The 21990-nt window shown below is 40.5% G+C and overlaps 1 protein-coding gene across 26 annotated transcripts in view, besides 3 other annotated features; it reads right to left on the bottom strand.

The window, feature by feature from the left end:
• NLGN1 (neuroligin 1) overlaps nt 1-6144 on the bottom strand; it is an 898421-nt gene extending 892277 nt beyond the window's left edge. For 12 of the 26 annotated variants that reach the window (XM_047447708.1, XM_017005902.2, XM_047447707.1 and 9 more), the window contains exon 1: nt 4033-4352. The gene's annotated coding sequence lies outside the window, so the exon portion shown is untranslated. Of the gene's footprint in view, nt 1-3608; nt 4353-5400 lie in introns of those variants that run through there. The other 14 variants (XM_017005893.2, XM_047447706.1, NM_001365924.2 and 11 more) reach the window with 3 other exon arrangements.
• Nucleotides 5584-6083: an enhancer, noted in NCBI's record as "H3K4me1 hESC enhancer chr3:173113803-173114302 (GRCh37/hg19 assembly coordinates)". NCBI's record gives its function as "activates a minimal SCP1, AML or CMV promoter by ChIP-STARR-seq in naive H9 embryonic stem cells {active_cell/tissue: H9 hESC(naive)}" and the evidence as "EXISTENCE:reporter gene assay evidence [ECO:0000049][PMID:30033119]".
• Nucleotides 6309-6398: a silencer, noted in NCBI's record as "silent region_14901". NCBI's record gives its function as "represses an Ori minimal core promoter by ATAC-STARR-seq in GM12878 lymphoblastoid cells {active_cell/tissue: GM12878}" and the evidence as "EXISTENCE:reporter gene assay evidence [ECO:0000049][PMID:35858748]".
• Nucleotides 6419-6498: a silencer, noted in NCBI's record as "silent region_14900". NCBI's record gives its function as "represses an Ori minimal core promoter by ATAC-STARR-seq in GM12878 lymphoblastoid cells {active_cell/tissue: GM12878}" and the evidence as "EXISTENCE:reporter gene assay evidence [ECO:0000049][PMID:35858748]".

The following is a 21990-nucleotide window of genomic DNA, read 5'->3' as shown; positions in this document are numbered from 1 at the left end:
AAACAATAGAGCTGCATTTTTATTTCCTTTGACATCTCTCACATGATTACTAAATAATTGGTAAGTATCAATAGCAAAGTCTATTGCTTTATTCAATAGACTGGAAGAGAAGGGATGTCGTCTGCAGAGAAAAATGTTATGAAGCGCTATATGTTTCCATTCTGCCCATTTATTTTCTAAGTAAAATATCATCAAAAGGAAAAATATCACAGTATTATCCTGGTTACTTTATTAACATTTAGCATGTGGAAAAATTATATCGACCCTCTTTGATGGATGTTTATTTTGTGTTTACTCTTTCTCCTTTCTGAAGTATTTAGACGAATTTTATGTATTGATTCACTCTGCCATCACGGCAAACACTAAGTTTTCAAAACCAAATCCATTTCCCCTTCTTTTCTTGTAGATTCTGATTTTGTTGAGGGTAGTAAAATGTCACCCTAAAAATCTATCTTCCAACCTCTCAGTTACCTAGAAGTAGCCAGCTGACAGAGTCTGGCAGTGATACGAGAATGGAAGTCTATGGGGAGAATGTTCACACCATAAAAAAAGACACAATGCTCAGAGAAGCCTTGTTTGGCCTCTTTCCCTCCTCTTCCTTCTTCTTATTTGTTTTTTAAATCTTATCATGTGTCCTCTACCACTTATTAAGCAAAAAATCAAAAAGATCCTCGCCACCACCATAATGCAGGGAAAAAAACAAAAAACAAAACAAAACAAAAAAAAACAGGGGTAGGGAAGAGTAGGAAACAGAGAATTTCCTTCCTTCTGATCTCAGAGCAAAACTTCTGAGCCTGGGACAATCTGACCTCTTAGAGACATTTGGCAATGTCTGGAGATACTTGGATAGTCATGATGAGGTGGGGGTGGGGTGCACTACCAGCATCTGGTGGATAGAGGCCAAGGATGATGCTACACATCCCTATAATGTACAGTACACTCCCCCATAACAAAGACAAATAATTATCCAGCCCACAATGACAACAGTGTCAAAGCTGAGAAACCCTGAGGTAGAATACTGTTATCTTCTTCTCCCCCATTTTGGGCCCCAAAGACAGACACGAGTTTGGAGGCACATCAGTGACCTTGTGCCCATGAGAAGAAAGGTTTCGAGATAATAGAAGAAGCCTGATAAAATGCTTAAGCAACTCTCTTCTCCTGACTTTTTATTATGTGAGATAAATAAAGCTTTATTTGCTTAATCCACGGTTAGCCAAGTTTTCTGTTACTTCATAGCCAAATATATTTATAAATAATACATTTACTATTCATTTATGGTAGACTCTATGTTCAGACATAAAGGTAAGCTATCATTTCCGAATGACATGATAAATCAGGCATGTCTTTTGATCTCTGGCAATTCACTGTGCAGTGAGAAAGCCAACCATTAGAAGTGTGAAAGGTGGGCTACTCCCAGTATAAATACTGTGTTGTGGGAGCTCAGAGTAAGGGTACAGGAAGGAAGCATCATGATGAAGGAAAGACCACCCAAGGAACTAAAATGTTTTTCTGTCCTATCATTGGTGTATATTTGGTGGGGTGGGGTAGAGGGGCAGGGAATGGATCAATGAAGAAAGATTAGCATAAGCAAACCACAAAATCCTAAAATGGTATGTAGTGTTGGGGAAAATAGTAATTAAGAGTCTTGTGAATGGACTAAAGAGTGAATTCAGAAGGGGGGCCAGGAGGACAGTGTTTTAATCTACATAAGGAGGTTTAAGAATGAATTGTGAAAAGCATTGAGTGGCATTAGGGTTGTGGACTTTGGCATGTAATAATCTATAAGGAGCCACTGGCCAATGTTAATAAGATCATACCTATATTTCAGAAATAATAATAATAATATTAAGTCTAGAAGACTGGACTTTGGTGATTTCATTTACAGATAATTAAAACATAACTGAAAAATCATATCTTCCTATTGACAATCCAGTAAGATGGAAACCGACTGCAAACTTCACTTCAAAAACTAAGCCTTTAAAATGTGGCAAAGGTATATGTTACACAGCTGCAGTTTCTAATACTACTGTTACTTTTAACTGTGTTTTGCTTACAAAAACTACAAATTAGTATTTGTTAGGTAATTTGTGAAATAACTCCTTTGTGTAAAAATAATAAAGAATTATCAAGATAAACCATTACTATGTTAAAAACTGTTTCAATACATGAAAACCCAGAGAGATACGTCACTCAAAGCTATATCTGTATTAATATTGTCTCACAAAAAGTTGTCAATAGCATTAAAATGTATGTGAAAAATTTTATAAAAAACTCAGATCTCAGATTTATAACTGTATTTTATAGTTCTAGCTACTTAATTATCCTATAAAGAAAACCAGAAACAGCTAGTTTAATGTAATTTGAAGGGATATGTAGATCTTGGCACTGGATAACCATGTGAAAATAGTAAAAGCAGAATAAAATATAAGAATTTCAGAGTTGGAAGAGACTTTGGAGAGTGATCCAAGAAAGTCATCCAGGAATGCATAGGGTCATCAGGCCTTCCAACACCCTGCAAATGAAACCAATGGAGTTCTCAGCCTACCTTCTTTAAGTGTATATTTCACCTTCAACTTCAAAGCCATTCAAACATTTACATTTGAAAATATGTTATTACTAAATGTAAGTGGAAAATTTCACAAAATAAAACTATACTGAGGGAATAAAGAAAAGATTGACAGCAAGTACTTTGGGGGTGGAAGAAGGGAGACAATGGGAAGGACGGGAACTAAAGAAGCTTTTCTTACTCCACACTACTGGAACTCTAGTAGAATCTGCTGAAAGATTGACTCCCTCAATTTCTGCTTATGTTAAGAGGATTGGGAAGACTAACTGCAGAATAGCAGGCTTACAGAAAACAGTTACTTCTTTTAATCAAACCATGTAATCAGAAGGCCTGAGTAATGATTAACTTCCACTTTCTCTGTGAATCACTCAATCACTCTGCAGTGCAAGTAGACTTAGATTCATTCTCTGCCAAAGGCACAGTAAATTTAATGTTTTTGCATTTAACATTTAATATTTTAAATATATGAATGGCCCTTGCTTCTGAGCTCATTTCAAAAACCTTGTGTTCTGCTAGGTTACAATGGCTGATAGAAATGCTGAGACATTTTATAGGTTTTACACTCAAACATAGGTACACATACCCTTTCTCAGTGACATTTTAATATCTATGATCCTATTAATAATTGAGCACAATTAATGGTGAGAAATGCATTAAGACCCTGTAATTTTCATGTACAGCATGACAACTCAATTGACTTAAGCAAAAATAGTCTACCGGAGTTTGAGTATAAAAAGAGGGAAAATGAGTATATTAACTACCTGTAAAAATGCAGAGTAACAGATACTGGGTTAACTATACGAATTCACGTTTCCCAAGTGTTATATGTATCACTATGGCCCTGGAAATGCAAAAAGAAATAGTACCTTTGTGGAGGCCAACTGTTCATGATTTAGAATTATCACAAATGAATCAAATATTGGACATGTAATATCCCTCATCTCTATAACACACTAACAACCTCCTCTGGAAGAAATTATTCCCAATGCAAAATCTCAACCTAAATAATTTTAAATTCAGGTGGTTTTTCATTTCTACTCACAAGGCATTGTGTTGAGGCGGGCAGGAGTCGGTGGAGAACGGTTTAAATGTTTGGAATACCTTCTCTTCCCAGGAGAGTTTATTGCCCAATAATGCATAATATATTAGTTGCTCAACGCGGGGGATCTAGGGAGTGACATCTTGACTGGAAACACACAGATCTGAAAACCACCTCTCAGGAAACGTTGTGGGGAAGAAGAGCAACTTTCTTATCCCTGTCAAACTAACCGGCGGAACCAACCCCAGAACTAGCCGGAGGGCCTGGGGAGAGCAGAAGGCTGAAAGCAGCTCCTCTGCGCTCCGCCGAGGGTTCAGGCAAGGGTTTTCTTCTGGAGGCGGCATTGTTCCTCCATCTGCTCAGCCTCCGTATTTCGCCAGGAAACCCTCCCCGCTTTCTCGTAATCTGTTCCTTATTTCTTTTGTACCTCTCAGCCGATTTCCATGCTCTTGGTCTCTGTGGTCCCAGGGCACAGCTCTAGGGTGAAGAGCTGCAGTGACTGGGGCGCCGCTCTAAGGCTTTGGAGGCGACTGCACTCCGCCCGGGCTCTGGCAGCGTGAGCGCCGCACAGTCGCTCGCTCCCTTCTCTCCGGTCTCTCCGGCTCGGACGGGCTCTCCCGGCCTCTCATCACCCACTCCGACTCGCCTTTCCTGCCGTGTCTCCCCACGCCAGCTCCGCGCGCTCGGCGCTGGCCGCCCGGGCGCGCTCTCCGCGCCGCCGCCTGATCCTCGGCTTACAGCCGCGGCGCTCCCCCGCCCGCCCACAGGCCGGGACTCCGAATTGAAGGGTCAACCCTCCGCGGGGAGGCGGGGAGGAGCGGCGAGGAGAGCTGGGGCAAGTGGGGAGCCGCGGGTGGGGGGACTGACGGGGGAACGGGAGAGTGAGGCCAAGAAGAAAGAAGATGCATCTGCTCCGAAGACGCCAATGAAGAAAGGACAGAGGGGGCAGGAGTGGAGTGGGGGAGAGAACGCCCACCAGGAGGGTGGGCAAAACGGGCAATTTACAAACTGCCGGGGCTGGAGATGCCGCGCGGAGGAGGAAAGAGGTTAGCGGCACAGAAGAAGAAATGAGGGGAAGTTCCCACATCTCCCCAAAAGGTCACGTTTGAAAACCGTGTCCCTTGAACGGGAGTTAAACAAGCGACTGGCCATGGTGTAAAAGGTGGATTTAAAAGGAAATTTAGTGTCATGTACTTATTTAGACACGGCTTCGTCTCGCTCAACTCTGGCAAATTACCCTCCAAGTAAAATGTATTGGTTTTATGCAGAAACGGAAGGCGAATCTCCTCCACTGTGGACTCCTCCTGAGATTGGTTTGTTTGCTGGTTATCTTTCTTTTTAAATGAAAAAAAGCGTTTGGGAGCTTCCATGAACCCCAACGCTTAAAAAAAACCACCCAGTTTATTAAAGTTCATTATTTTTTATTGCTTTTATTTTCATCAGAGGATAGGGTGAGGGACTGGCATCTTCAGATGTTTAAAACACTTATTTAGGTAGCATTATTTTTTATAAAGGACACGATTTCCTAAAACCGCCAGAAAGGCTATTGGAAAACTCAGCTACTAGCCTGGGAAAGAGAGACGCATTTAAACTCAAATAGACGATTATACCTCCAGCACCCCCCACCCCCACCCCAATGGGATTGGAAAAGGGTTGAGTTTACAGAAGAGAGAGAGCAGAGAAGGGTGGGTGGAAGGTGGGGAAGGCGAAGGAGAGGCAGGGAATAGGAAGTTCTCGGCAATCCCCGGGATTAAGGTAAACGCCGGAGCTCGGCGGACGCAGGAAGCTCCCTTACCTTTCTCTCTAAGCCCCGTTTGCACCTGATCTGCAACCATAAATACTTCGTGGTGCTTAGTGTGCAGCCAAACGATGGCCAAATGTTAAACAATTCTTCACGCTCCCTCCCCCTTTTAAAAAACAGGCTCAAAAGAATGTTAATAGTGTTCTTGTTATCCATCGGCTCCAAAACATTCCGTTTCGTGGGGAGGAGAGACGAAAACCAGGCCCTTGGGCACGCGTATATGTATTTATATATTATGCGGTCGGTATATAAACATATATACGTTTCCTGCATGTAAATCCAAAATGAAAAGCACCACAGATGCTTCTGTAAACGGGAGGGGACAGCGAAGAGCAAAACTTGGCAAGCCAAATGTATCCAGAGATTTCGTACCAGGAGCCACCTGCTTCAATATGCAGAATTTCCGAGAAGATTTAGAGGGAGAAGGAAAAAAATTAAAAATAAAATACCCAAAACACACACTTGAAACTGGAAGACACCTATGAAGCTTGGAAATGGAGAGGATGAGAAGATCTCCCGGGGCTACAGATCCTCAGCTAAGTGAGCAATCGCCTCCGAAAATCATAGGCGGGGAGGTGGCTGCAGATGCGTCCCCTGCTCCGGTCCCCGCCGCCGCCGCCGCCGCCGCCACTGCTACCTGTAGACACGCACACACACACGTACACGCGCGCACACACACTGCCACCTTCTCTCTCTCCCTCTCCCCTCACTCCGTGGCGTTGTCGGGTGCAGGAGTCTGAATCAAGCCAGACCATCCTCCAGACCCAATCCTGCCCCCCTCAGAGCCAGGACTCCCTCCGCTGCCTCCCTCTCCCCGCCCGGTTTATTGCACAGCGTCCCCTCCCCTGCGCGCCCCTCCCGCCGGTCGGAGGCGCGATCTTGGTGGGGGTGGGCTTCGGGGGCGCGGGTCCGGCGGTGGCAGACTTGGTGCTGGTGATGGCCCCTCCCTTTACAAGTTCCGCCCTCCTCCCTTACTCCTCCCGCGGCAGCCGAGCGTCCTCCGCCCGCAGCTTCCGCAGCGCCCGCGGCGGCAGGAGGGGTGAAGGGCCCAGGGAGTCACGTGTGAGGTTCGCCAAACCACTCAGAGCGGCGTGTGAGTGAACGGGCACGACCGCCCAGACGCGAGGCGTCGGACGCTCTGAGTTTCTGTCTTCTCGGCGTCATCGTGCTCCGGTTCCAGGCGTTTTCGTCTTGGTGACGGAGAGCGCGGAGTTGGAGGCAACAGCCTTCCACTGTGCCTCTTCTTTCCCCCGCCCCCCTCTTTTTGGTAAATCTCTAGCCACCAAACTCCCCTCTCTTTCCTCTGCTTCCTCTAGCTAGAGGCAGAGTAATCTCTGAATTGAAGCGTTCGTTGGCTGTAGACTGTTCCGTGCGAGTAGTGTGAACGCAACGCCACTGCCTTTGGCCTCTTCCTCCTGGCTGTGCCCACAGCTTCTGCCGCTGGATAGGTGATTTTAAAAAAATCACAGCTAATCATTGTTGGCTTTTGTGACGGGTGTGACTCACTGTAGCACATTGTTTACACCTACCCGCTTCCCACTAGCCTCTCTGTGTGAATTTTTAAATGTAAGTAAGTTGGAAGATAGGGCGGTGCCTACAGAACCACTAAGTTAACTGATTGCCACCTGTAATAATCGTAACCCCAAAAGGAAAACCTAGCAGTAGAAAAATCGCTAGAAGTGACACGTGAACTAGAGATATGTTTTTTCTCACCATTTAAGAGCTTGCTTCATATTTCTCAATCTCATGTATGCTTTAATCTCCACAATTCAAGTAAAAGAAAGGAACTTTAACATTTACACTGCAATGGCCCCTATCACTCACTCATTAATTAATAACAGTAAGTAAGAAACCAAGGTTCTACCATTTCCGCTCTGATTTTTAAAAAAACAGTCTTAAATATGACATGTTCCTTTGGCTTAGAGGAAATTCAGTACCACATTGTCTTGATGTCGTTTTAGAATCCAGTCTATCTTGTCATGTTTTTCTTTTTTTAAAAGTAAATTTTAGGCTATATGTTGACAAATCCAGCAGATTTCGGTAATGCTCCCAAGAAAGTGAAGTTTCTTTCTACTAAAACATGCATCTGATTCTTGGTAACAGGTGTACCATGCCCAACTTGCACAAGTTTGTCTAATTTGACAACCTAAACCCTTTGAAATTTGTCTGGAATTTCCTAAGAAAGTTGAGAAATAAGTATCTATTTCAATATTTGTGAAAGTACCTAAATGGGTCCTGTTAATTTTCATGAGATTACATCGTTAACCTAACTTGATATAGGATATGATTTTGACAAGCGAAGAATAAAAAAGAAATAAGGATGATTCTATAAAGTTCTCCATTATAATTTACATAACATAATGTTTTATATACTCTCTTGTATCCCAAGGCTGTGGGCACCACTTCCTAACTATATTTGCTGAGGTTAATATCAGAATCCTAATGGTAATAACTAAGCATTTTTCACTTCCAATATTTGGTATTTATAGTACGAGATTAATTTTAAATAGGTTCTATTGTGGGTTCTTTTCATTATTTTCATGGCTACACTTTATCAGTTGGCCATTATTACCTCATTCCTGTGAGTTAGTTTTACAAAAAGCCTAAGCATTTTAACAAAATGAATTGTTACACAAACAGCATTTATCACAATCTGTAAATACAGACGAATGAGCCAAACCTCCTTGCTCATTTTTTTCCCACTATACCAATCAAACCCTCTTAAGGAAATAAACCCATCCCCTACCATTTGATCTCAAAAGCAATTACATAGCAAGAAGTTTTGTTTTTTACTTTTTCTTTTGTTGGTATGTAGTTAAGGGCTGGGACTCTCGAATCAGATTGCCTGAGTTTGAATCCTGGATTGACAAATTGTTATTGCCCGGTGCATGTCACTTAATCTCCTTAAACTTCGAATTTCACCACTGCAAGATGGAGATAATTATGCTCCCTACCTTGTAGAATTGTTGTAAGGATTATCCAAAATAATGCATGTAAAGCACTTGGCACACAAATTATGTAATTCTTCAATGTTTCTATTTTTAGTATCTTCATGATATGTTTTCTGATTCAAACACCAACACACATGCGTGTGTTTGTATGGATATTAGATTAGTGTTAAAAACTGATAAAGACATTTGTTGGCAATATATGGTATCTGTAACCAGAAAGTCATTAGTGATTTTAGAGTGATTCCTAGGTCCTTCCTGCCTTTTTTTTTCTTTTATCTTTATCTTTTTTTTTTTTTTTTTTTTTTGAGACAGAGTTTCACTCTTGTTGCCCAGGCTGGAGGAGTGCAATGGCACAATCTCAACTCACCGCAACCTCCACCTCCCAGGTTCAGGTGATTCTCCTGCCTCAGCCTCCCGATTAGCTGGGATGACAGGTATGCACCACCATGTCTGACTAATTTTGTATTTTCAGTAGAGACGGAGTTTCTCCATGTTGGTCAGGCTGGTCTCGAATTCCCGACCTCAGGTGATTCTCCCACTTCGACCTCCCAAAGTGTTGGGATTATAGGTGTAAGCCACAGTGCCTGGCCTTGCCTTTTGTTTTTCTTATGGTATATTTGTCTTCTATTAATTAACTTTAATATTAGACTAAACATATTAAATGTGAATGATGACATAAAAAAGACATTAAACACATGAATAAGTGATAAAGACATCAGTAAAATATAGAAGATTTGATCCAACTTACATTGAAAATCATGTGGCCTTCTAGGTTGTGACATTAACTGTGCTTGTGTGTACTGCCTTTTACCATGTCAAGAATTGTTTGAAATGAGTACTGGAACTCTGGAAAGTCAAACACAAATAAAAACCCTACAAAGCTTGCCTACACATGTCTGCTCCTTTGTAAATTTGGAAGGAGACTTCAATGTAGCAAATAGGCAGAGTATTAGCATTTTCTGAAAATGTTTTCTCGAAAGAATCTTAGTATGAAAACAAATCTATGAGTGAGAATAAGGAAAAATCACTAGAGAAGTAGAGAAATCAACTTTATAAGCATGAATCTATTACCTAATCATTGTTATGTTAAAATTTGTTTTTCCCAGGAATGAAAATGAAAATATTGGAAAAGAAAGCTAGGCTTGAGTGTAAATAGCAAATTGTACCTCAGACACCTCAATAGGGTGTAGACTCAGCGTGCTTTCAGTCCAGAGGTCGTTAAGTGGAAAAATGTTTTTCTTTCTTTTCTTTTTTTTTTTTTTTTTTGAGATGGAGTCTCGCTCTGTCACCCAGGCTGAAGTGCAGTGGCCCGATCTCAGCTCACTGCAAGCTCCACCTCCCGGGTTCATGCCATTCTCCTGCCTCAGCCTCCCAAGTAGCTGGGACTACAGGCGCCCGCCACCATGCCCGGCTAATTTTTTTGTATTTTTAGTAGAGATGGGGTTTCACCGTGTTAGCCAGGATGGTCTTGATCTCCTGACCTCGTGATCCACCCGTTTCGGCCTCCCAAAGTGCTGGGATTACAGGCGTGAGCCACCGCGCCTGTCTAGATGTTTTTCTTTAGTAATTATTTCTATAAGGAAACTTAAATAGCATGTTATCTTAAAGAAAAAGCAGGAATATTACTCATTCTTTGGAAAATCCCAAAGACCCACAGCAGGAGATTAGCACATAGTTTTTCTTTCCCAAGGCATTTAGGAAGAACAAATATTAATAAAATGTGATGCTTAGATGAAATTATTTTGCAAGTTTCCTTATAAATTAGATGTACTTTACTTAAAATTGGTTAAATATAAATAATATACTGAGAAAGAGTTTATAGGGCAATGACGGCTCATATTTCTGTTCTAAAAGAAAAAACAGAGCCAAATAGTCTTTGAGTTGTAGCATTGCCAAGTGGACCCCCTGCACAGCTTCCTGGTAATGTCTTATTATAACCTGGACAAAATATATAGATATTATTAATACTAACAAGACGGAATCTGACTTCTAGGGTCACTAACATAATATCCAGTTAACCAGAATCCACATGGTCTCCAGCTCTAGTCTATTCACACACCATCCCTCTAGCACATATGGTCTGTGCAGCTTGGCTAAATCCATCCTGTTTTTATCTAGCCCTGAAAAAGTCAAACCCCGTTTCTGAAACCCTTTAATAAATCTGTATTTTCTGTCATGTGAAATACAAACTTCTTATCCTAGGAACCAAAGCTCAACAGGCTCTCAATCCCACACATCTTTATTTTGGACTATCCAAATCACCATCTCTACCTATTGGAAAACTACCAAAAATGTTATCTTAAAGATCCCCTGAGCCAGAAATTATTTTCATTTTCCCTTCTTCTCTGACTAATTTGCACGTCCCATAATGCAATAGCACAGCCTATCTTGTGTCGTCATTATTTCTGGATCGTTTGATATCTTGTTTATAAGATATAAAATAATCTCTCACTCAGGAACTTGTACATATCCATTCCTTCTCCCCAGACCTCTCTTCCTCCTGATAGCTATAGGCTCCCTCCCTCATTCGTATAGGTCTCTGCTCAAGTGTTACCTTCAAAGAAATATTGCCAGGCACGGTGGCATACTCCTGTAGTCAGCTACTTAGGAAACTGAGGTGGGAGGATGGTCTGAGCCTATGAGTTCAGGGCTAGCCTTGGGAACATAGCAAGACCCCATCTCTAAATAAATAATTTTTAAAAATCTCCGCTGACTCTGTTATCTAAAATAGCATTCTCCTCCCTGTTCACTCTCTGCCTTCTTAAATTCTTGAATTTGCTTGAACATACTTATTATAATCTGATTATATTTATTTGTTTGCTTGCCAGCTTTTTTTTACCCACCAGAAGATAAGTGCCATGAGATCAGGGACTTAATTTAATTTGTTTTGTTTACTGCTGTATGCTGTATACCTAACAGTATGCCTGACTCATTTTGGTACTCTAAAAGTAGTTCAGTTAATGTGTGAAGCCAAATTGACTCAATAATAAATTTCCAGGGCACGATTATAGACTATCTCTAACTTTAGCTAAAAATTGAGCATACAGGCACAAGAATTTTCTCAGATATCCTTGAAAAACAATTTTTTAAATGAATGTCTTACATAAAATACATTAAAGCTATACTTACAGGACATGGACCCCACTTTTTTGAGATAATTTTTAGAATGAGCATATATTAGCCCCAAATGTTTTCATAAAGCAATTGTGCCATATTTTCAAAGATACTTTGCTCATTTAAGAGCCAATGGTACTTTATTACATGACAGGTTGCACATTTGCTCATTTCCCAGAGTTTTAGTACTTTCAACTGTGTATCTAGGGTTGTGTGTGTTTGTGTGTGTGTGTGTGTGTGTGTGTGTGTGTTTTAGGTTCTAAAGTACATTTTTGGTAATTATTTAAGAACTTGAAATTTATAGAAGCAGTTATTAAGCCTAAAATCACATTTACGATGTACCTATGTATATAGCTCTTAAGAAAGCTAAGATTGTGTTTTGTGTGTATGTATGCTGGTAAAGTTTATTTACACTACATTCTCTCATGTCAATCACATTTAAGTCCTGGAAGTTTGTATTTCTGTATTTACATACAGAATTAAGTACCTTCCTGAGAAAATGTAATTCAGTAAATGAGTTTTCACTCATCAATCCTTTGAGTGCCAACTGTACCTTTTACTGCATTATTGAAGAATGAAAAGAACTATGAGACATGGTCTCTTCCAACTTGAAGTTACAGTATCTCTGAGGTAGCATCCTACCTAGACCTTATGATACCCTCATTCATAATACAAAAGGACTTCCTAGGGAAGGATATTCTAAGCAGAAGACTAACATATTTAAAGACATGAGCTCACTAGAGAACAAAATGTGTTCTTAAAGGTAAGCAGCTCAATTTAGCTAGAGCATGGAGAGGTAAGTAGGTGAGGGGAAATAAATGAGCTTGTATGTAACCAGGGTGAGATAATGAGGGGACTTGTGTGTCAGACAATTAAGTTTGGACCTGACCCTTCAAGCAGAGTCAGTGGGGAGCTTTAAGCAAGGAAATTGTGTGATCGTATTTGCTTTTTAGAAAAGTCTGTCTGTAGCAACATGGGGAGTGAAATAAGGAAGGAGAGGCAAAACTAAAGGCAGGGAAGCTAGTTATGAAATTATTGCAATAGTACACAAAAGAGATGAAAGGGTGTCTGAACTATGTAGCAACAACAACAACAAAAAGAAGTTGAATAGTGCATTACTACTTTTTTTTAAATGTTCGATGATCTTCCATTTCATTGTTAAAAATACAGACATCTTTCAACATCACCCATCCTCTTTATAATGAAAGTGATAGAAACTCAGCTCAGGCCCAATTAAGTGAAAAAAGCAAACTCCCAAACTCAGTTACCTAACTGAGAAGTTGAAGGTGCATTTAGCTCTCACCCTGATTGTATTCAGAGCCTTAACTGAGGTCCTTAAGTTTTTCTCCTTTCATTTTCTTCATTCCTTGGCTTGCCTTTATTTTCAGGAAGCCTCTCTTCACCTTTGGGGCAGGACGCCTGTCAGCAATTCCAGACATACTCTTCAGGGCAACATCCCCAGGGAAAATTACCTTGTTAACTACAGAAAAGAAATCCTATGGAGGACTTAAAATGATTTTGCTTGGGTCACACTTTCCTTTCTGTGACTGAAGATGGGGTTAATTTTATTGACCAAGTGCAGGACACATCATATACCCCTGTATGAGGTAAGGTAGCACAACAAGATTTACACATACAGTAAAGGCCAATGTAGGAAAAGCCTAGGGTGCTTACCAAAAGAAGAAAGGTGAAACAATTTGCTGGGCAAACTTTAACTTCAGCCATAATAATAGTTCACCACATGCTACTCCCAGTTTTTCTCCCTTTTTTAGCCTCTTTCCAGTTCCTTCAGTCTTGCAAAAGTGGATTCTTGAGGCTGCAAACCTACAAATCATGGCTTCCCACCTCTGCGTCTCTGTTCAATTTGTTTATGTTACTTTAATTCCTTTTCTATCCCTGCCTGTTAAAATAGAAGTTCTAGAAATTAATGACTTGTATATATTCTGTGCTTCACTGAAGAGACTTGTCCAAGCAATTGATTAGATATTCAGAAGACGTAAAAATACACAAAGCAGAGACACTATCCTCAAAGAGCTTTTAATTAGAAGGTTAAACAAAACACATATACAAACAAACAAACACATATACAAAACACAAACAACACAAGTGAATTAAAGAGGGCAATGGAAACTCAGTGAAGGAAAGGAGCAAGGACTGACTGAAATTCAGTGCATATTTATTTTGAAGGAATAAAACGAACAAATGAAGGAAGTGATGTAAATGAGCAAACTGATAAAACATAGAAATTTAGATCATCCAGAAAGATAAAAAGATTAGGCTTTTCACCATAAAACGTAGAGTCATCAAGAAAAAAATGGGTTTTGGTGCTTTTATTTTATTATATTTTTATTATTATACTTTAAGTTTTGGGATACATGTGTAGAACTGGCAGGTTTGTTACATAGGTATACACATGCCATGGTGGTTTGCTGTACCCATCAACCCGTCATCTACATTAGGTATTTCTCCTAATGCTATTCCTCCCCTAGCCCCTGCACCCCCTGACAGGCCCCAGTGTGTGACATTACCCTCCCTGTGTCCATGTGTTCTCATTGTTCAACTCCCACTTATGAGTGAGAACATGTGGTGTTTGGTTTTCTGTTCCTGTGTTAGTTTGCTGAAAATTATGGTTTCCAGCTTCATCCATGTCCCTGCAATGGACATGAACTCATCCTTTTTATGGCTGCATAGTATTCCATGGTGTATATGTGCCACATTTTCTTTATCCAGTCTGTCACTGATGGGCATTTGGGTTGGTTCCAAGTCTTGGTATTATGAACAGTGCTACAATAAACATACGTGTGTATGTGTCTTTATAGTAGAATGCTTTATAATCCTTTGGGTATATACCCAGTAATGGGATTGCTGGGTCAAATGGTATTTCTGGTTCTAGACCTTGAGGAATCACCACACTGTCTTCCACAATAGTTGAAGTAATTTACACTCCCAACAGTGTAAAAGCATTCCTATTTCTCCACATCCTCTCCAGCATCTGTTGTTTCCTGACTTTTTAATGATTGCCATTCTAACTGGCGTGAGATAGTATCTTGTTGTTTTGATTTGCATTTCTCTAATGACCAGTGATGATGAGGTTTTTTTCATATGTTTGTTGGCTGCATAAATGACTTCTTTTGAGAAGTGTCTGTTCATATCCTTTGCCCACTTTTTGATGGGGCTGTTTTTTTCTTGTAAATTTGTTTAAGTTCCTTGTAGATTCTGGATATTAGCCCTTTATCAGATGGATGGATTACAAAATTTTTCTCCGATTCTGTAGGTGGCCTGTTCACTCTGATGATAGTTTCTTTTGCTGTGCAAAAGCTCTTTAGTTTAATTAGATCCCATTTGTCAATTTTGGCTTTTGTTGCCATTGCTTTTGGTGTTTTAGTCATGAAGTCTTTGCCTGTGCATATGTCCTGAATGGTGTTACCTAGGTTTTCTTCTAGGGTTTTTATGGTTTTAGGTCTTACATTTAAGTCTTTAATCCATCTTGAGTTAGTTTTTGTATAAGGCTAAGGAAGGGATCCAGTTTCAGTTTTCTGCATATGGCTAGCCAATTTTCCCAACACCATTTACTAATAGGGAATCCTTTCCCCATTGCTTGTTTTTGTCAGGTTTGTCAAAGATCAGATGGTTATAGATGTGTGGTGTTATTTCTGAGGTTTCTGTTCTGTTCCATTGGTCTATATATCTGTTTTGGTACCAGTGCCATGCTGTTTTTGTTACTGTAGCCTTGTAGTATAGTTTGAAGTCAGGTAGCATGATGCCTCCAGCTTTGTTCTTTTTGCTTCAGATCCTCTTGGCTATACAGGCTCTTTTTTGGTTCCATATGACATTTAAAGTAGTTGTTTCTAATTCTGTGAAGAAAGTCAGTGGTAGTTTGATGGGGATAGCATTGCGTCTATAAATTACCTTGGGCAGTATGGCCATTTTCACGATATTGATTCTTCCTATGCATGAGCATGGAATATTTTTCCATTTGTTTGTGCCCTTTCTTATTTCCTTTAGCAGTGGTTTGTAGTTCTCCTTGAAGAGGTCCTTCATACCCCTTGTAAGTTGTATTCGTAGGTATTTTATTATCTTTGTAGTAATTGTGAGTGGGAGTTCACTCATGATTTGGCTCTCTGTTTATCTGTTATTGGTGTATGGGAATGCTTGTGATTTTTGCACATTGATTTTGTATCCTGATACTTGGCTGAAGTTGCTTATCAGCTTAAGGAGATTTTAGGCTGAGATGATGGGGTTTTCTAAATGTACAATCATGTCATCTGCAAACAGAGACAATATAACTTTCTTTCTTCCTATTAGAATGCCCTTTCTTTCTTTCTCTTACCTGATTGTCCTGGCCAGAATTTCCAATACTATGTTGAATAGGAGTGGTGAGAGAGGGCATCCTTGTCTTGTGCCAGTTTTCAAAGGGAAAGCTTCCAGCTTTTGCCCATTCAGTATGATATTGGCCGTGGGTTTGTCATAAATAGTTCTTATTATTTTGAGATACATTCCATCAATACCTAGTTTATTGAGAGTTTTTAGCATGAAGTGGTGTTGAATTTTATCAAAGGACTTTTCTGCATCTATTGAGTTAATCATGTGGTTTTTGTCATCGGTTCTGTTTATGTGATGGATTACATTTATTGATTTGCATATGTTGAACCAGCCTTGCATCCCAGGGATGAAGCCTACTTGATTGTGGTGGATAAGCTTTTTGATGTGCTGCTGGATTCAGTTTGCCAATATTTTATTGAGGATTTTTGCATCGATGTTCATCAGGGATATTGGCCTGAAATTTTGTTGTCGTTGTTGTGTCTCTGCCAGGTTTTTGAATCAGGATAATGCTGGCCTCATAAAATGAGTTAGGGAGGAGTCCCTCTTTTTCTGTTGTTTGGAATAGTTTCAGAAGGAATGGTACCAGCTCCTCTTTGTACCTCTGGTAGAATTTGGCTATGAATCTATCTGATCTTGTGCTTTTTTTGGTTGGTAGGCTGCTAATTACTGCCTCAATTTTAGAACTTATTACTGTTCTAATCAGGGACTCTTTTTTTTCCTGGTTTAGTCCTGGGAGGGCGTATATGTCCAGGAATTTATCCATTTCTTCTAGATTTTCTAGTTTATTTGCATAGAGGTGTTTATAGTATTTTCTGATGGTAGTTTGTATTTTTGTGGGATCAGTGGTGATATCCCCTTTGTCATTTTTTATTGTGTCTATTTGATTCTTCTCTTTTTTCCTCTTTATTAACCTGGCTAGCAGTCTATCTATTTTGTTAATCTTTTCAAAAAGCCAGCTCCTGGATTCATTGATTTTTTGAAGGGTTTTTGTGTCTCTATATCCTTCAGTTCTGCTCTGATCTTAGTTATTTCTTATCTTCTGCTAGCTTTTGAATTTGTTTGCTCTTGCTTCTCTAGTTCTTTTAATTGTGGCAATTTTAGATCTTTCTTGCTTCCTCCTGTGGGCATTTAGCACTACAAATTTCCCTCTAAACACTGCTTTAGCTGTGTCCCAGAAATTCTGGTACATTGTGTCTTTGTTCTCATTGGTTTCAAAAAGCTTATCTATTTCTGCCTTAATTTCATTATTTACCCAGTAGTCATTCAGGAGCAGGTTGTTCAGTTTCCATGTAGTTGTGCAGTTTTGAGTGAGTTTCTTAATCCTGAGTTCTAATTTGATTGCACTGTGGTCTCAGAGACTGTTTGTTATGATTTCTGTTATTTTGCATTTGCTGAGGAGTGTCTTGCTTCCAATTATATGGCCAATTTTCGAATAAGAGCAATGTGGTACTGAGAAGAATGTATATTGTGTTGATTTGGGGTGGAGAGTTCTGTAGATGTCTATTAGGTCTGCTTGGTCCAGAGCTGAGTTCAAGTCCTGAATATCCTTGTTAATTTTCTATCTTGTTGAGCTGTCTAATATTGACAGTGGGGTGTTAAAGTCTCCCACTACTATTGTGTGGGAGTCTAAGTCTCTTTGTAGGTCTCTAAGAATTTGCTTTATAAATCTCTGTGCTCCTGTACTGGGTGCATATATACTTATGATAGTTAGCTCTTCTTCTTGCATTGATCTCTTTACCATTATGTAATGCCTTTCTTTGTCTTTTTTGACCTTTGTTGGTTTAAAGTCTGTTTTATTGGAGACTAGGATTTAAATTCCTGCTCTTTTTTGCTTTCCATTAGCTCGGTAAATTTCCATCCCTTTATTTTGAGCCTAGTGTGTCTTTGCATGTGAGGTGGGTCTCCTGAATATAACACACTGATGAGTCTTGACTCTATCCAACTTCTCAGTCTGTGTCTTTTAATTGGGGCATTTAGCCCATTTACATTTAAGGTTAAAATTGTTGTGTGTGAATTTGATCCTGTCATTATGATGCTAGCTGGTTATTTTGCCCATTAGTTGATGCAGTTTCCTCATAGTGTTGATGGTCTTTACAATTTGGTATGTTTTTGCAGTGGCTGGTACCAGTTTTTCCTTTCCATATTTAGTGCTCCCTTCAGGAGCTCTTGTAAGGCAGGCCTGGTGGTGACAAAATCTCTCAGCATTTGTTTGTCTGTAAAGAATTTTATTTCTCTTTTGCTTATGAAGCTTAGTTCGGCTGGATATGAAATTCTGGGTTGAAAATTCTTTAAGAATATTGAATATTGACCCTCACTCTCTTCTGGCTTGTAGGGTTTCTACAGAGTGATCCGCCGTTAGTCTGATGGGCTTCCATTTGTGGGTAACCGATCTTTCTCTTTCGCTGCCCTTAACACGTTTTCCTTCATTTCAACCTTGGTGAATCTGACAATTATGTGTCTTGGGGTTGTTCTTCTTGAGGAGTATCTTTGTAGTGTTCTCTGTATTTCCTAAATTTGAATGTTGGCCTGTCTTGTTAGGTTGGGGACGTTCTCCTGGATAACATCCTGAAGAGTGTTTTCCAATTTGGTTCCATTCTCCCTGTCACTTTCAGGTACACCAATCAAACATAGGTTTGGTCTTTTCACATAGCCCCATATTTCTTGGAGGCTTTGTTCATTTCTTTTCATTCTTTTTTCTCTAATCTTGTCTTCACGCTTTATTTGATTAAGCTGATCTTCAATCTCTGATATCCTTTCTTCCGCTTGATTGATTCGGCTATTGATACTTGTGTATGCTTCACGAAGTTCTCATGGTGTCTTTTTCAGCTCCATCAGGTCATTTATGTTCTTCTCTAAACTGGTTAATCAGTTAGCAATTTGTCTAACCTTCTTTCAATGTTCTTAGCTTCCTTGTATTGGGTTAGAACATGCTCCTTTAGCTCAGAGAAGTTTGTTATTACCCACCTTCTGAAGCCTACTTCTGTCAATTCGTCAAACTCATTCTCCTTCCAGTTTTGTTCCTTTGCTGGCAAGGAGTTGTGATCCTTTAAAGGAGAAGAGGTTTTGTGGTGTTTGGAATTTTCAGCCTTTTTGCACTGTTTTTCCTCATCTTCCTGGATTTATCTACCTTTGGTCTTTGATGTTGGTGATCTTCGGATGGGGTTTTTGTGTGGATGTCCTTTTTGTTGATGTTGATGCTATTCCTTTCTGATTGTTAGTTTTCCTTCTAATAGTCAGGCCCCTCTGCTGCAGGTCTGCTGGAGTTTGCTGGAGGTCCACTCCAGATCCTGTTTGCCTGGGTATCACCAGTGGAGACTGCAGAACAGCGAAGATTGCTGCCTGCTCCTTCCTCGGGAAGCTTTGTCCCAGAGGGGCATCCACCTGATGCCCGCTGGAGCTCTCCTGTATGAGGTGTCTGCCGACCCCTGCTAGGAGGTGTCTCCCTGTCAGGAGGCACGGGGGTCAGGGACCCACTTGAGGAGGCATCATCTGTCCCATAGCAGAGCTCAAGTGCTGTGCTGGGAGATCCACTGCTCTCTTCAGAGCCGGCAGGTAGGAATATATAAGTTTCCTGAAGCTGTGCCCACAGCCGCCCCTTCCCCCAGGTGCTCTGTTCCAGGGAAATGGGAGTTTTATCTATAAGCCCCTGAATGGGGCTTCTCCCTTTCTTTCAGAGATGCCCTGCCCAGAGAGGAGGAATCTAGAGAGGCAATCTGGCTACAGAAGCTTTGTGGAGCTGTGGTGGGCTCTGCCCAGTTTCAACTTCCAACCAGCTTTGTTTACACTGGGAGGGGAAAATCACCTACTCAAGCCTCAGTAATGGTGGACGCCCCTCCCTGCATCAAGCTCGAGAGTCCCACGTCAACTTCAGACTGCTGTGCTGGCAGCGAGAATTTCAATCCAGTGTATCTTAGCTTGCTGGGCTCCGTGGCAGGTGGGAACCGCTGAGCTAGACCACTTGGCTCCCTGACTTCAGCCCCCTTTCTAGGGGAGTGAATGGTTCTCTCTCGCTGGCATTCCAGGCGCCACTGGGGTATAAAAAAAACTCCTCCACCTAACTCGGTGTCTGCCCAAACAGCCACCCAGTGTTGTGCTTGAAACCCAGGGCCCTGGTGGTGTAGGCCCCCGAGGGAATCTCCTGGTCTGCAGGTTGCAAAGACTGTGGGGAAAGCATAGTATCTGGGCTGGAATGCACTGTTCCTCACGGCACAGTCCCTCAGGGCTTCCCTTGGCTAGGGGAGGGAGTTTCCCAACCCCTTGCACTTCCAGGTTGAGGTGACACCCCACCCTGCTTTGGCTCACCCTCCATGGGCTGCATCCACTGTCTAACCAGTCCCAATGAGATGAGCTGGGTACCTCAGTTGGAAAGGCAGAAATCACCCACCTTCTGCATTAATCTCACTGGGAGCTACAAACTGAAGCTGTTCCTATTCGGCCATCTTGCCAGCTACCAAAAAAATGATTTATTTTTAATTTGGAGGAGAACTGAGCATGTTTAACGAAGAAAGATGTATTAAGTTCATTAAGAAAAAAAAGGTGATAAATGTAAGTTTCTGTCCAGAAAAGGAAAGAAAAATGAGATCCAGAAAAATAAATGGAGTTCAAAGCTAACTCTAAAAACATATATTTAAATGATTTTTTAAAAGAGCAAGAAAATGTTTTAGGAGAATCCCTCTTAAAATGATGATTGGCTTAAACTTAAAATGGCAAAAATTTGGTTCAGAGTAAATTTCCCTGTTTGTAATGAGTAAATGTGTTTTGTTTTCATATGCTCAATTATAATTTATGGACTACATTAAAGTAACAAAATACTTCTTTATACAATATCAAGTGCCTATTTCTTAATAATCTAGTTCAGTTCAAAGTATAAACATGTTCTTCCAGTCATTTATATATAAATAGAGTTAAGTCTCCCTTACAGTATTAAGAAATCAATATAAATATTTAATGCAAAGGAAACGAGATGATTTAAGTATCTTAGGATTCAAGCTGGAGATAATTGCCCTCTCACATTTCTTTCTCATTTTCTGTCTTTCAGAGAAATAAATGTACTATAGTTAATGCTTAAAGTAGTAATTATAATTTTTAAATTCATAAATCAGGTTGCAAGCCTGAAGTAGCAGGTTCACATTTATTCTAGTACTCTCACAATGGAAAATATAGTAGAAGTACTCAATATGTGTGATGTTATTATGAAAAGGAGCCTTTTAGACTTTACCTTAAGCTCATATTATTATATCTAAGATTTTGGTTTATGTAATAGCTGCTTTGAGCTAACTAAACCATTTTGATCGCTAGAAGGTGATAGATATTTGCCCCTACACATATAGAGAGGTAATGTGCAGCCTAGAAGGATTTCCTAATAGAAATTTTCCCTTTCGTAAAGATTGCCTGTGGGTGTAGGAGCCAGGTGAAATGTGGCTCTAAAGTGGGTAGGCATGATGAAAATGTGCACTTAAGAGCCATTTTATTTTTCTGAGTCAAATCTCATTCCTGAAGAGTCCAACTAGATCTCATTCCTCTTTCAAAAAAGAATCTCAGATATGGCCCTCTCTATTTATTTATTTATTTTTAGCTGGAGTTTCACTTTTATTGCCCAGGCTGGAGTGCAATGGCACGATCTCGGCTCACTGCAACCTCCACCTCCCAGGTTCAAGCGATTCTCCTGCCTCAGCCTCCCAAGTAGCAGTGATTACAAGCATGTGCCACCACGCCCGGCTAATTTTTGTAATTTTAGTAGAGACAGGGTTTCACCATGTTGATCTGGCTGGATGGTCTTGACCTCCTGACCTCGGGTGATCCACCTACCTCGGCCTCCCAAAGTGCTGGGATTACAGGCGTGAGCCACCATGCCCAGCCCTCTTTTTCTATATGTTACCAATCAAATGCAATATACAGAGGGGTAAGGAATGTGGGAATAATGTACCCCCATAAATTATGTTAAGTGTTTACTTCTCAGCCTCATCTTCCAATGAACTCCTTTGAGCACCCAGCCCCTGGATGCTACATTTAGTGATGTGCATAAACATTCCCCCTACTTGCTTTTACTTCACTCTGGTTTCTTCTTTTTGAGCATTCCTTTTCCAAATACTTTTTTCTCTTTATCTTTTTAACCCCAATACTCTTGAGCCAAAAAACGTAGATTTCAGTTCAAATGTCTCCTCTGCCATGAAACCTCCTTCCTTTACCTTCAAGA

Source organism: Homo sapiens, chromosome 3, assembly GCF_000001405.40.
Source record: "Homo sapiens chromosome 3, GRCh38.p14 Primary Assembly".
Taxonomy (NCBI): Eukaryota; Metazoa; Chordata; class Mammalia; order Primates; family Hominidae; genus Homo; species Homo sapiens.
Note: the sequence above shows the minus strand (reverse complement) of the source record. Positions and strands in the feature narration are given on the sequence as shown.